This window comes from Homo sapiens, chromosome 3 (assembly GCF_000001405.40).
Source record: "Homo sapiens chromosome 3, GRCh38.p14 Primary Assembly".
In the NCBI taxonomy this organism is placed as follows: Eukaryota; Metazoa; Chordata; class Mammalia; order Primates; family Hominidae; genus Homo; species Homo sapiens.
The window spans coordinates 125,132,459-125,146,610 of record NC_000003.12 but is presented as its reverse complement, the minus strand read 5'-3'; the positions used below and the strand labels follow the sequence as shown (position 1 = coordinate 125,146,610).

At 49.0% G+C, this 14,152-nt stretch overlaps 1 protein-coding gene across 2 annotated transcripts in view, besides 6 other annotated features; it reads left to right on the top strand.

Annotated features, from left to right (window-relative positions):
* Positions 1–14,152, top strand: part of SLC12A8 (solute carrier family 12 member 8) — a 130,105-nt gene that overhangs the window by 66,138 nt on the left and 49,815 nt on the right. For both annotated transcript variants that reach the window (NM_024628.6, NM_001195483.2), the window contains one exon: positions 10,829–10,942. In NM_024628.6, coding sequence (NP_078904.4) covers positions 10,829–10,942 — 114 coding nt within the window. The remainder of the gene's footprint in view (positions 1–10,828; positions 10,943–14,152) is intronic.
* Positions 2,497–3,450: an enhancer, noted in NCBI's record as "H3K27ac-H3K4me1 hESC enhancer chr3:124862005-124862958 (GRCh37/hg19 assembly coordinates)". NCBI's record gives its function as "activates a minimal SCP1, AML or CMV promoter by ChIP-STARR-seq in primed H9 embryonic stem cells {active_cell/tissue: H9 hESC(primed)}" and the evidence as "EXISTENCE:reporter gene assay evidence [ECO:0000049][PMID:30033119]".
* Positions 3,964–4,787: an enhancer, noted in NCBI's record as "H3K4me1 hESC enhancer chr3:124860668-124861491 (GRCh37/hg19 assembly coordinates)". NCBI's record gives its function as "activates a minimal SCP1, AML or CMV promoter by ChIP-STARR-seq in naive H9 embryonic stem cells {active_cell/tissue: H9 hESC(naive)}" and the evidence as "EXISTENCE:reporter gene assay evidence [ECO:0000049][PMID:30033119]".
* Positions 4,021–4,250: an enhancer, noted in NCBI's record as "active region_20420". NCBI's record gives its function as "activates an Ori minimal core promoter by ATAC-STARR-seq in GM12878 lymphoblastoid cells {active_cell/tissue: GM12878}" and the evidence as "EXISTENCE:reporter gene assay evidence [ECO:0000049][PMID:35858748]".
* Positions 4,261–4,350: an enhancer, noted in NCBI's record as "active region_20419". NCBI's record gives its function as "activates an Ori minimal core promoter by ATAC-STARR-seq in GM12878 lymphoblastoid cells {active_cell/tissue: GM12878}" and the evidence as "EXISTENCE:reporter gene assay evidence [ECO:0000049][PMID:35858748]".
* Positions 4,801–5,030: a silencer, noted in NCBI's record as "silent region_14661". NCBI's record gives its function as "represses an Ori minimal core promoter by ATAC-STARR-seq in GM12878 lymphoblastoid cells {active_cell/tissue: GM12878}" and the evidence as "EXISTENCE:reporter gene assay evidence [ECO:0000049][PMID:35858748]".
* Positions 8,791–8,900: an enhancer, noted in NCBI's record as "active region_20418". NCBI's record gives its function as "activates an Ori minimal core promoter by ATAC-STARR-seq in GM12878 lymphoblastoid cells {active_cell/tissue: GM12878}" and the evidence as "EXISTENCE:reporter gene assay evidence [ECO:0000049][PMID:35858748]".

Below are 14,152 nucleotides of genomic sequence, written 5' to 3'. Positions count from 1 at the left end.
TTGTCCTCTATTCCCACATCTGTACGGCAGGGAGGAGCCCAGGCCTTAAGCAAGGATGCAGGGTGCCATCTCTGAGGATCCCTGGGGAGGGTGCTGTGGAAAGAAATGGCTTGAGGTTTTGTTTGATTGTTTGTTTGTTTGTTTTGTTTTGTTTTTTATTGTGGTAAAATATCCATAGCACACACTTTGCCATTTTAACCGTTTTTAACTGTACAATTCGGTGGCATTAGTTACATTCACACTGTTGTGCAATTATCCTAACCATTTGCGTCCAAAACTTTGTCATCACCCCAAACAGAAACTCCGCCCCCACTAACTTCTGTTCTATGATACTTTCTGCCTCTCTGAATTTGCCTATTCTAGATATTTCATAGGCAGTAGTTCCCCTTATCTACAGTTTTGTTTTCTGCAGTTGCAGCTATCCACGGTCAACAGTGGTCCAAAAATAGATAAAAATAGTATAGTACAATAAGGTATTTTGGGCCAGGCGCAGTGGCTCATGCCTATAATCTCAGCACTTTGGGAGGCTGAGGTGGGAGAATTGCTTCTGCTCAGGGGCTTGAGACCAGCCTGGGCAACAAAGTGAGACCCTGTCTCTACAAAAAATATAAAAAATTAGCTGAGCATGGTGGCGCCAGCCTGTTGTCTCAGCTAGTCAGGAGGCTGAAGTGGGAGGATCACTTGAGCCGTGGGAGGTGGAGGCTGCAGTGAGCCGTGATCGTGCCACTGCACTCCAGATGGGGTGACAGAGCAAGACCCAGTCTCAAAAAAGAAAGAAAGAAAAGAATAAAAAAGATATTTTGAGATGAGGGAGAGAGACCACATTCATAAAACTTTTATTATAATATAATTGTATTTTATTATGTCATTGTTGCTAGTCTCTTACTGAGCCTAATTTATAAGTTAAACTTGATCACAGGTATGTATATATAGGAAAAAACATAGTATATATAGGGTTTGGTATTATCTGCCATTTCAGGCCTCCACTGAGGGTTTTGGAAAGGATGCCCTGTGGATAAAGGGGAGCTACTGTAAGGGGAATTATACAACATTTGTCCTTTTGCATCTGGCTTCTTTCACTTAGCATGAGGTCTTCAAAGTTCATCTGTGTTGTAGCATGTATCAGAAATTCATTCCTTTTTATGGTGGAATAACATTCCATTGTATCGATATACCACATTTTGTTTATCCATTCATCTGTGGATGGACATTTGGGTTGTTTCCATTGTTTGTTATTATTAATGTTTTATATTTTTTGCATGTCCCCTGGGGCTAGGTGCCAGAGACACCCCAGAAAATAAGAGAGCGTGGTGCCTGCCCCCACCTGGCTCATAGTCTAGTGGAAAAAACAGGCAAGTAGCCAGCCAGTAACAGCAGAGAGATGGGGACCCATAGGACATATTGGACAAGGGCTTGGCCACACTGTGTTCTGGTCTCCCCTGAGCAGCTGCTAACTTTGTGACGTGGGCATCTCCTTTCTCAGGCCTCAGCTTTCCCATCTGTAAAATGGATTTGAGGCTAAAGACTGCTGTGATGCTAACTTTCTACAGTTCTATGATACTGAATCTTTAGCCATGGCATTCTGAGGGAGGCCCTGCTTTGTTTCTTGGGTAGGACTTGGGGTGGGGGAGAGCTGCCCATGGCCTCAGAACTTGGTGGGGAAGGGGTCTGAGCATGTGAATATTTTCAGCCTGGTGCTTGGCAGGAGGGGGGCTCTGCTTACATATCGGTGTGTTGATACTGACTGCCCCTTCCCTGCAGGGGTCACTTGACCTCCCACCCCGTCTCAGCTGCCTGCCTGGCGAGGATATCCAAGCAACAGTGGGGCAGGGAAGACTTCTTGACCAGCTTGGAGCTGTGCAGGGGCAGCTGATTTGAGGGGGCCATGAGTTGAGTTAGGATTATTTTGGGGGTGTCAGGGGTCAGGAGTTGAAGCATGGGAAGTGGGATGCCAGAGGCAGAGACAGCCAGAAGGAATAAGTGGTGGCTGGGAGGAACCCACAGCCAGGGTGGAGACTTCCCGTTAAAACAGCCCGTTATCCTGGCAGGAGGGAGAGTGCATTCCTTTCCCCCAGGAGATAAGGAGGCCAGATTTTCCTTTCTCAGGGCTCCTTTCTAGGGTAGGCTAGTGGGGGCTCTGTGGGCTGGGCTGGGGCCAGGTCCCTCTGGACCCCTCTGCAGGGTCCCAGCTGGAGCAGCTGGAGCTCCTGGCACTCATCCAAGACTCCCTGCAGCCTTGGACAAGCACTGCTGCAGCAGTGGCAGCACAACGTTTGAATCCCAGTTGCCTCTCTGTGCCTCAGTTTCCTTCCCTGAAAAAAATCCATCTACCTCATAGGGTAGTTGTGAGGCTTCAATGAGTTAATACGGTAAAGCACTTGGAATGAGTGGTATGCAGCGGAAGTAGACAGCACTGTTCTCACCCCAAGATGCCTCTTGTTTCCTGGGGCCCAGGTGAGAACCTAGTGTCTCCTCAAGTCAGATTCTTTTCACATTCTTGGGCATTTGACAGCTCTTTCCGCTGTAGGCCTCTCTAGGCAAAAATCTCATCTCAGCTTACTGACCCCAAGGCCATTATGAGAAAAGGTTCATTAAGCATTTAAAATAGAGCCCGTGTTAGCAGATGGAACAATTTCTTGGTTATTAGAAACCATTCTTCATGAAGAAAAGGCTTATCTTTCCTTTCACAAATGAGGAATCCTTAGCTCAGAAAGAGCCCCGGGACTGCCCTCCTAGACCGCAGGGCATGGCAGGAGCTGCTCTTGTTATGGGACACTTTCAGCCCCTTCCCTCCCAGGCCAGGGAGGCTGCCCTGACATCCCCCAGTCTGGCCTTTCATCCCCTGGGTTGCCCAGCCCTGGGGGTCCTTCCCACTGTTTCACAACAGCCAGTCCTCCCACAGGGTGGAGGCTCTCCCCATGGCCAGGCAGGGCTCTAGGCTGCTCCTTTCTAGGCAGGCTGGGCGGGACTCCCCTGGCCCTCTGGGCAGGTCAAGCCCCACTTCAGATTTCCCTTCTGGCCACTGTTGGAATGCCCAGCCCTCCCTCTGTGTATTTTCTCTCTGGGTGGGGTCTTAGGCTGGAAACCCTGTGCACATCCTCTCTCCACCCTCTCTTTGCAGGACCAAAGTCAATAGGGCTGAAGCCAGAGAGGAGACTGTGGTCCGAGGAAGACTCCAGGCTCACGCCCAGGACTCTTTGGGGGCCTCTTCGAAACCTATCATTATTTCCTCTTCCAAATCTCCAGGCAGTGATCAATACAAAGCAATACAGCCCGATTCAGTTTAATTTCAAAACAGTCCAACGCAATACAGCCGATTCAGTTCTATTTCAAAACACTTTTATTGAACACCAATAGTTGTACCAGGATTGTTATGACCCAGTTCAATGGGAGAGCCCAACAGATTGGGACTTGATACTATCTGGACTCCAAACTGTACTCTCAATTAGGGTTACTGTTCCCCTTTTGACTCTGCGTGTCTTTTGAACAGTTGGCTTCAGCTCTGCACTTCAGTTTCCTCAGTTGTTAAAACAGGCCAATGAATTAGACCATGAAGGTTTCCTCATCTCTCTGCCCTTCCATGTAATCTCTCATTATCGGCCAGTAAGGTTTTATTAACATATGGAACTGTGGTAGTGAGCTTGTTTCACGGTTCTGGAGCACATCCTGTATCAACAATCACAGAGTCAGGGAAGGGAGGAGGGCATGTTATGGAAGCTGGTTTGGGATTTTACCTCTGCCATTGGAAACCAACTGTGTATTTGGACAGTGTGTCCTGAGAGGCCTGAGAGTGGGCTTCTGGCTGGGAAGACTTCAGAATTAGAAGGGTTCTGAAAAATCATCTCGTACTGTGCTACTGAGAGTTCGATCTGCAGGCAGGAGCGTGGCATCTCCGGGGAGCTCATTAGGAAGGCTGGGTCTCTGGCCCATGCCGGTCTCGCTGACTCAAAATTTGCGTTTCAAAGCTCCGAGGGAAAAGGGCTTGTTTACAGTCCCACAGTGAGTCCTCGCATAACCAGGGCCCGAACCCTGGTTCCTGATTCCTGATTTTGCCACTGTTCTTGCCTTCCTCCACCCAGAGATCTTCAGGGTCCTTGTGCCTGGAAGGGGGCCCTGTGCTTCACGCCGAGGGAGGATAAGCATGGCAGGGACTTCTCCCAAATCTATCCTCCTTGAGTTCAGTTTTGACTGGGCTCCTCCCTGATAACCTGTAACTGCTTCACCCTTTGCAGCTCCCAGAAGAAAAACCCCATCCCCAGCCCAGGGAGGCCAGGCCTGCTGTGTTTAATTGCCCATCTCTGTGCCTCTTAGCCCATCTGGGGCTGGGCAGTATCTGAGTGAGTGTCCGGGCGAGGATGGGGCTGCTTGGGAAGGAACTCTTGTGGGTGACAAGTGGCAGGATGGGGCCCGTGGACACTCCCCTTCCTCCCCTTTCCGCGGACCCCCTGGGTCAGGCAGTTTCGGATTGGCTGCAGATCCCCGTCTCCGTGAGGCCGCGTCTGGCGAGGTACAGGTGCTGAGAGGCGCTGGGCTGTCCAGAGGCGGCGCGCGAGGCCGGGTGCGAGGTCTTGCGTGCGCGCCGCGCCCACTTCCTTTGCTGAGGAGCCTCGCGCAGTCTCCGGGGCCTACCACTTCCCCCGACGCCCTTCGGGCGTCGTCGTGCGGGTCCCTTCCCAGAAGCGGCCTCTCCTTTCCCTTTCCTCGCAGAGCCGCTCTTCCTGCGCCCTCCGAGCCCCACCCTCCTAGCTCCGTCCGGAGCCCTTCCTCCGCGCTGGCTATTCTCGGTTGCGCCAGCCTCTCCCATTGTCCATTCGCAGGAAAGGGCTGTCTGGCTGGTCGTCGGTCGCTGGTCCAGGGGTGGGGGACCCAGAAGAGAGCGCCGCCGGAAGCCCCCGCCGCGGCAGCAGCCCGCAGCCCGCAGCCCGCAGCCCGCAGCCTGCAGCCCCAGCATCATTTTTAGAAATCTCGCTTTCTAAGTTAGTCAACAGTGCAACCCGACGCCCACAGGGAGGGGTATGACTTCCCGACTCCCTCTTCTAATTTCAGCAGCCCCCAGCGGCGTAGGGGGAGGGGATGTCGGGGGCACCGCAGGTGCCACCCAGAGCCCCTAGCAGCCGCCTACCCAGGGCAAGGGTCCCATGCCCGGCTGCTGGGCACCCCAAGCAGCCCTGCTGGAGCAGTTCTCAGTCCCACTAGTGACCCCCGCTGCCTGCCTTTGGCTAAGGGGAGGAGGGTAGGCTCCCACGAGCACCCCTTGGGAGCAGATGGTGGGCCCTGAAGAGCCACAGCCCACTGGCCGCATCACAAGAAGCCTGAATTACCCGAATTCCGGGTGGAAAGATCAAGCCTTTCTGCAGACAGAGCTTCAAGGACTTTCCCTCTGCCTGTTCCTGCCTGGGTCTTGTTGTCATTTGTTCTCTGTCTTACCCGCACCCCACCCCACCCCCCTTTTTGTTTTTGTTCTTCCTAAAAGCATACAGCTCAAACTGGACCAAAGTATTTTTATTCCGTGGATAGAGAAACAGATGTTCAGGTCAAACCCAGATCCATTCACACGCAGCAGCTGCAGGCCCCATGCATCCCAGGCCTTCGAGAGTTGAAAGATGTCAGATGACAGGACCCCAGACCACAAGACTCAGTTTCACCAGCAGAGGAATTGAAAGCCCAACAGAGAGGCAAAGAGACTCTTCTGAGGTCAAAAAACAAGTGTTGGAAATCCCTGGGGAGGCTAGACGTGGTGGCTCACGCCTGTAATCCCAGTGCTTTGGGAGGCCAAGGTGGGAGGGTTGCTCGAGGCTGGGAGTTTGAGGTTGCAGTGAGCTACGATAGTGCCACTGCACTCCAGCCTCGGTGATAGAGCGAGACCCTGCCTCTTTAAGAAAAAAAAGGAAAGAAAGAAAAGAAAAAAAAAAAGGAAATTCCTGGGGAATGACTTTGGGATGGATTACAGAGGGTCAGTGTGGTAGATGGAGGCCTGAATTCACTCAGATGTGGGGTCCAGGACAGGCTGTGTCCTCCCAGCTGTGTAAGCTCCAGCCAGTTGCATACCGGTAGGCACATGGTGTTCCACAGGATAGGACTCCTGTCTGCCCTACACAAATGGGGCCGGGGGAGATGCCATGATCTCTGTGGGCATGTTTCCTGGGGCTGAAAGGCAACCTGTGCTGTAAGGGGGTGCAGTGCCAGGGCCTGGGAACCCACCTCCTGGAGAGAGGCCTGGCTTCTGCCACCGGGAGAGGCAGTGGGTGAAATACAGGCAGATCTGGCTATGTAACCCTCGGACAAGCTTTTTCACGTTCCGGAGCCTCAGTGTCCTCAGTTAGTCATCGTACAAGTATGACATTGTAAGGTCTTGTTGTTCAGTGGCTGGCACGTAGGAAGGGTTCAGTCACTGGTCGCTCAGCATTATTTTCAGAAGTGAGGTTGCCCTGTGGTGTCCTTGGAGTGACCTGCACAATCTCTGTGCACACAGTCTTGGCCATTGCTTGGCAAGGACTGTGGCATGAAGACATTATTGGCTATGTCACTCTCAGGGCTGCTGTCCACTCTGAGGCAGGGCATGGTGGCAGTCAGGCCTTGGGAAGTTGTAGGTGCCTCCTGGCGGGACAATCTCACGTGCAGATGTAGCTGCTAGAGTAGAGGTCTCGAACCTTAAGGTCCATGCTCTCCAGAGAGGCTTCAGAAATCTGCCCTTCCCCAAAATGGTATGCAAAATGTGGTGTCTATGGGGACAGGGACCATGGTATTCATCAGACTCTCAAATGGGGGCAACTAAAAGAATTAGGAACCTTTGTTCTGGGCATCAGCAAGTCAGGCATTAAGAGCCACTGTCGGAGGGCATGGCAGGCGGCATGGACCTCAGCCCTACCCTGGGTGTGACCCACTGACCTCACACCATGCTTAGCTAGCCAGTACCGGCCAGTCAGAGACATGAGTGCCTCCCCTGGGCACCCACTCTGCATAAGCCCAACAGAGAGTCAACCATGCCTGAGGTCTGGGTGGGCCACCAGGTTCAGGGTGTGGGAAAGAGACCCAGGCCCCAGCAGGCAGGATGGGGACCAGTGAGCAAGACTCTTTGGGGACTGGCTCAGGACAGGGGACCGTGAGGTGGGGTGGTGATAGGTGAGGGGTGCAAGTCATGAGGGCCTGGGAAAATAGGGGCAGAGGAAATGAGGCAGGGTCCACTGTGCCAGCTTTGGGGGCTCCTTGTTGTCCACTGGAAAGTGGCCCATGTGAGGGATGGGCCACCAGATCCAATGCCCTGCCTCAGTGCGCTTGGTCAAAGAGTTAGAAAATTCTCTCTGAATAAGGCCTCAGACTGTGGGTCATGGAGGTACGACTGGGGGTGTTCTCACCCTCTCTCTCTTTTGCTCAGTTTCTTTCTTTCTTTGGTCCTTATTTTATTTTTCCTGTCTTGTTTATGTTTTTCTCATAAGCCACTCAAGTCATTTTGGGAAACAGAGTACAAACGGAAAGAAAGAAAAGCTCTTCATACATAGAAAAGCTGACGAGAAAGTGGGCTTTCAATTGTGGGATGTTTTGTTTGTTTTCCTAAAAGATATTTTTTGATGACAAGTAGATTATGTTCATTTAAAAAAATTATTTTGTCACCCAAACTGGAGTGCAGTAGCATAGTCACAGCTGACTGCAGCCTTGACCTTCTGGGCTCAAGTGATTCTTCCACCCCAGCCTCTTGAGTAGCTAGTACCATGCCCTGCTAAGTGTGTGTGTGTGTGTGTGTGTGTGTGTGTGTGTGTGTGTGTGTTTTGTAGAAGGGGTCTTTCTGTGTTGCCCAGGCTGGTCTAAAACACCTGGGCTCAAGCAATCCTCCCACCTCAGCCTCCCAAAGTGCTGGGATTGCAGACATGAGCCACTGCACTCAGCCCTTTAACTTAAATGTGGATGTTTTGTAGAAATAAAAAAAGAAAGTACAAGAATTGCCTGTAATTGCATTATACAAACAACCACAGTTAGTATTTCGGTGTGTTTTCTTCTAGCTGTTTCTTACATGTATAGATTAATACACCTTTTTTTGTATTTATACTATGGCATCCAGTTTTCTGAATTAGCATATAGTATATATAACATGGACAGTTTTCTCTTATACTAAAAACTCTTTATAAGCATTTAAAATGTCTCAGTTCCACATAAACATTTAGAACCTCCTCTGATTTTTTCATTTTTTATTTATTTTTAAATTTTAAAAAATTGAGATGGAGTCTTGCTCTGTTGCCCAGGCTGGACTGCAGTGGTGCAATCTTGGCTCACTGCAACCTCTGCCTCCTGGGTTCAAGCAATCCTCTCGCCTCAGCCTCCAGAGTAGCGGGGACTACAGGCACACCCCATCACGGCCGGCTAATTTTTGTATTTTTAGTAGAGATGGGGTTTCACCTTTTGGCCAGGCTGGTTTCAAACTCCTAATCTCAAGTGATCCACCTGCCTCGGCCTCCCAAAGTGCTGGGATTACAGGCGTGAGCCACTGCACCCGACCCCTCCCCCGATTTTACATTATTGTAAACAAAGCATTGACACATATTTTTGTCCATAGCGTTCTTTGCAAAGTTAAGACTATTTCCTAGAGCAAGATTCAGAACTGAGCTTGGCTTCAGCCCAGAGCAGGCTGGGCCAGCAGTAGTGTGAGTGTGAGCGTGTGAGTGTGAGCGTGAGTGTGAGCGTGAGCGTGTGAGCGTGAGCGTGTGTCAGCGTGAGTGTGCACTTTGTGAATGTGGCAGGGCTGCATTTCTCATTGGCCCTGCAAGAGATGGCAACTGAGGCAGGCCCACGAGGGAGCCAAGTGACTCATTATCTCAGCCTGTGGGTCTTGCTGAAGGGATGGGCAGAGAAAAGGCTTCCCAGTGACTCATCTATTGGGCCTGAAATCCCTCTGAACCTTCAGGCTGGCCAGGGCAAAGCCCTTCAGGCCCAGTGACCAAATATTCCCCTGTGTCAGGGCCGCCCTTGGGCCCTTGGAGATGAATATGCCTGATGAAGTGTTTTCTGTCCTGCGAGGCGGGCCTGCCGGGCACACACAGCCCTCCGCTCAGATGTGCTTTCCGACCTGCACATTAGTCCAGCTTGGCTGAGCTCGGTTCCAAGGCAGGCTGGGCTGGTTTTCTCCTCCTTAAGACTCATCAGTGAGGTCAGCCAGCGGATAAGCTAAAGTTAACTTAGCTATTATTGCTTTTTTGTTAATGAGGGGAGGGCCAGCTACAAAAACGCCAAACCATTCAGAAAAGTTGTACAGCACTTGGGATTGAATATGCCAGAACAAATTCTGTGTTCAGGCAAAATAAAGCAATTGACAATGATTTAAGTCCTGACTGGACTCCCAAGGGTCCCTTGTGCTTCCCTGAGATTTCGTTTCATTATTTTTTAAAAAAAATATTTTTCTTATGAAGTTATGAATCTTGGAAGCTGTGTGAAGTGCGGGCGACCTCATTGGACTCATCAGAGTGGCAGGAGCCTTCTTTTGTGGATGGAAGCTTGGGCTGTAATTAAGCTCCGAGCGGGTGGAGGATGAGGCTTGGGGAAATTCTGTCCCTGAAACCCTAGGGTTGGCTATGGAGTGACAGCTGAATACCCATCCTACGGGACTACAGGGGTTGAGGGAAAAGGAGCAGGGATTGGCTTCTCTTGGACGACAGTTAATAGGAACAAACCAACTCCTTCTCAGAGACAAGATTCAGAAGCAGAGGCTGAATATCCTGGGTGTTCCTGAAACCAACAACACTTGACTTGTGTCTTAAAATTCCACAGCCCACTAGCATGTTCACAGATGCTGTTCAAAGTGACCTCCTTTGACAAAGAAGCAACGTGCCTGCAGGGTTGAAACCACTTGAAAAAAGTTTGTTAAAGTCGATGTACAAAAATGTTTAAAATGCTTTGAGGAAATGAGATCTGAGATGTTCCTGCTATGAAGTAGGCTGTGAACAAGTCAAATTGAAAGTGTGGAAGCGAGATGTGTCCATAGGCTGAGAGATCTAAGAGAAAGGTTCTTTTCAGCGTGACCCATATTTGCAACCTACCTACTGTGCACCAGTGCAGTGCTTGGCTCTGGGGGATAGAGATCTGCAGACCTGGATTTCATGCCTCAAGGAGTTTAGTTGGGGAAAGTCCTACTGTGGCCAGACCTAGCGTCAACAGCAGTGAGGGGGGAGGAATAGATTCTGATTAGGGAGTGCTTATAAAGCCCAAAGGAGCACCATTTGGGCTGAGCTTGAAGAGTTGGCCCACTACGATGCTTAGAGATGTGGGAGAAGAGTCTGGAAGGCCAGGAGACTGCCTAACGAAGGCAGGGGGGTGGGTGTGGGTGGCCTTCCTCAGGGTGTGGCTGCTGGGGAGGAGAAAAAGCAAGGGATGAGTAGGGAGCGGTGGCTGTTGCCAGGTTGTGGAGGCTTTGATAGGAGTTTGGACTTGATTCTGTAGCTATTAGGGACCCGTGGAAGGTTTTCGAGTACGGAAGTAACTTGCAAATATCGATTAATTTTTTAAATGGAAAACAAACATATAAATACATGCTCATTGAAAGATATTTCAGCTATATTAAAGTCTATGAAGCAAAAGATGAAAATGCTCCCCTTCCCAGAAGTAACCACTGCTTCCTTTCATGTTATGTCATCCATCTGTGTCTATGGGATCAGCACACAAAAGTCAACCCTAGAAGTGGGAAGGTAGATGGTTCTGCAGACCCGCTCTGTCGCTGTGTGTCACATACATGCCCCTACCTTTCCAATATTTAAAGCGATATATGAAATAGTACCATAATCTAGGGAAATGTGTCCTGTGTCTTCTCACTGGGCTTACGTTGCTCTCCATTGCTTTATTTCAGAACATGGTTTCATTGGATATTCACCCGAACTGCTACAGAACAACACGCTGCCCGATTACAGCCCGGGGGAATCTTTTTTCACTGTCTTTGGGGTTTTCTTCCCAGCGGCTACAGGTATTGTAATCTGGGTTCTTTTTTACTCTCAAATTAGGGGTATACATTCTTGGTTCCAAAATTCAGCATCATCATTGGCCTGCAGGTACTCTTGGTATGTATATCCAACTTTAGATATGGGCTTAGCTTTGACTAAAATTTTGTTATTTTATCTGTTTATGTATGTATTTTGTAGAGACAGGGTCTCACTATGTTGCCCAGGCTGGTCTTGAACCCCTGGCCTCAAACATAAAAATCTATTATTTTAACAGAGTTTACTGAAGGCCTTCGATATGATTTAATCCTCCTCACTCCTTATACATTGACACCTTTTGTTCATAGAAAGGATACATATCTCATAGGGCTGAACAGGACGGATTCCTCAGCAGGACAAGCCGCTCTTTCCACAGGTGGAATAAGTGCATACCTGGAATCGAAACTTCCCTTCCCCCTACCCGTACCAGCACATCTTCTCCCAGAGGGCAGAGAAACACTATTGTCTTTTGTTTTCTTGCTGTATCAGGTGTGAGCCAAACCAGTATCGCGGGGGTGAGGAATGAATCTCCTTACCCTCCCTTCCCCAAGTTCCTGCTCTGCAGTGACTGTAGAGGAGCCTCCCACAGCCAAGGTCCCTGTAGGGCTCCTGCCCCATGCTTGGGTCCCTGGCCTGGAAGGCAATAAGCTAACATGTTGACCAGATGCTCCATAAAAAATAACATTTGCTAGTGACTGGGCTTGTCCCCAGGGAACAGACTCTTAATGAAGAGAGAAAAGCATTTCACTCTTGATCAAGAGAGTATTGATGGCCAGAGGATATCTGTCTTGTCTCCTTGTCTCTCTCTCCTTTCCCTCTGCCCTCCTACATATGGCCATTTCCTTACTTGTTGTCCCCACCCCAAATGGGATAGGGACAGAAAAAGAAGGAGAAGCTACTAGAGTGTCTAAGATTGAGAAGATTGTCCATACAAGTGTTAGCAAGGATGTGGAGACACCAGAACCCTCATGCACTGCTGAAGGGAATGTAAAATGGTGCGGTGACTTTGGAAAAAAGTTTGACAGTTTCTTAAAAATTACATCCAGCTATTCCATGCCTAGTTATCTACTGCAGAGGATCAAAAGCCTGTGTTCATATGAAGATTTGTACATGAACTTCCAAGCAGCTTAAATTTTAATAGTCCCAAACTGGAAATAGCTTGAATGTTCATCAACAGGTGAGTGCATAAATAAACTATGATGTAGCCACACAATAGAAAACCACTCAATAATAAAAATAAATAACTGGTCAGGCGTGGTGGCTCATACCTGTAATCCTAGCACTTTGGGAGGCCAAGGCAGGTGGATCACCTCAGGTCAGGAGTTCAAGAACAGCCTGGACAACATGGTGAAACCCCATCTCTACTAAAAATATATATAAAAAAAAATTAGCCTGGCATGGTGGTGCATGCCTGTAGTTCCAGCTACTTAGGAGGCTGAGGCAGGAGAATCACTTGAACCTGGGAGGCAGAGGTTGCAGTGAGCTGAGATGGCGCCACTGCACTCCAGCCTGGGCGACAGAGCGAGACTGTGTCTCTAAACAAAGAAAAATAACTATCGATACACACAACAATATAGGTGAATCTCAAAATAATTATGCTGAGTAAAATAAGTCAGACCAAAAAAAAAGCAAATAAATATGATTGTATAAATTTCCATTTATATGCAGTTCTAGAAAATGCAATCTATAGTGACAGATGCCTGGGAATGGGAGTGAGAGGAGCACGAAGGAGGGATTACTAAAGTGCAGAAGGAAACTTTGGGGGGATGAAAAATATATTCCTGGCCTGGCGTGGTGGCTTGTGCCTATAATCCTAACACTTTGGGAGGCCAAGACAGGAGGATCCCTCAAGCTCAGGAGTTTGAGACCAGCCTGGGCAACATAGTGAGACCCTGTGGTCTCTACAAAACATGATTAAAAAGTTAGCTTTGGCCGGGCGCAGTGGCTCATGCCTACAATCTCAGAACTTTGGGAGGCTGAGGCAGCCGGATCACCTGAGGTCAGGAGTTTGAGACCAGCCTGGCCAACATGGTGAAACCCCATCTCTACTAAAAATACAAAAATTAGCTGGGCGTGGTGGCATGCACCTGTAGTCCCAGCAACTCGGGAGGCTGAGGCAGGAGAATCACTTGTAGTGATTCTCAGCTACTTAGGGGTGGGAGGTGGGTGACAGGAGGACTGCTTGATCCTGGGAGGTCAAGGCTACAGTGAGCTTTGGTCACGCCATGATACTCCAGCCTGAGTGACAGAGTGAGACCCTGTATCAAAAAAAAAATTGTGTGTGTGTGTGTGCGTGTGTGTGTGTGTGTGTATTCCTGATTATAGTGATGGTTTTATGGGTATATTCATATAGCAAAGCTTTTCAAGTTGTTACACTTTAAACATGTACATCTTATAGAATGTTAGTTATACCTCAATAAAGCTGTTAAAATGAAAAAGACAATAACTTTAATCATCTTTAATTGATTTTCCTCAATCCCACTTTTCCTTATAGCAATAGCCTTTCCCTCTCCTCTTCAAAGCCAAACAACATGGCTCCCCATGTCCATTCTTGTATCCCCTACTCAACTCTCCCAGTCTCTCCTTTGGGAATTGCAAGCCTGTCTCTGCAATGACATGGCTCTTTCACCAGTGACTTCCTTGTTACTAAATGCAGCGTGCATTTTTAGTCTCTCACTTTATTTAACTCTCAGCAACAACCCACTTCCCCTTGCATTTCTCTTGCCTTCCACGATGCAGGCTTCTCAGCTCCCTCCTACTCTCTGACTTGCCTTTATAGGTGCATCCCCTCCACCTGCCTGTCCAATGTTGGGGATCTTCAAGCTATTCCTAGGCCCTCACATCTCTTTCTCAACTATTTTCCTTGGAGTCTCATCCATGCTTATTGTTGAATAACCACCCTCAAAACTGGTGACTCCAAAATTTACACTTCCAGCCCAGACTTCTCTTCCAAGCTTCACATCATACATTCAGTTGTCCATGTGACATCTTCTCTTGGGTATCTTGGACCGAACAAGTTTGAACCAAACCCATCTCACCTACCCCTCAACTTGTCCTCCTCCTGTACTCCTGATGTCAGTAAATGGCACCTCCACCCAGCCAAATGCTTATGCCAGTGATCAGACCTCCCTCTTTCTTTCCAGTGCCCTCTAAGTCTTGTCAATTTTACCTCCTAAGAGTTGCTAGATTCTCTCTAC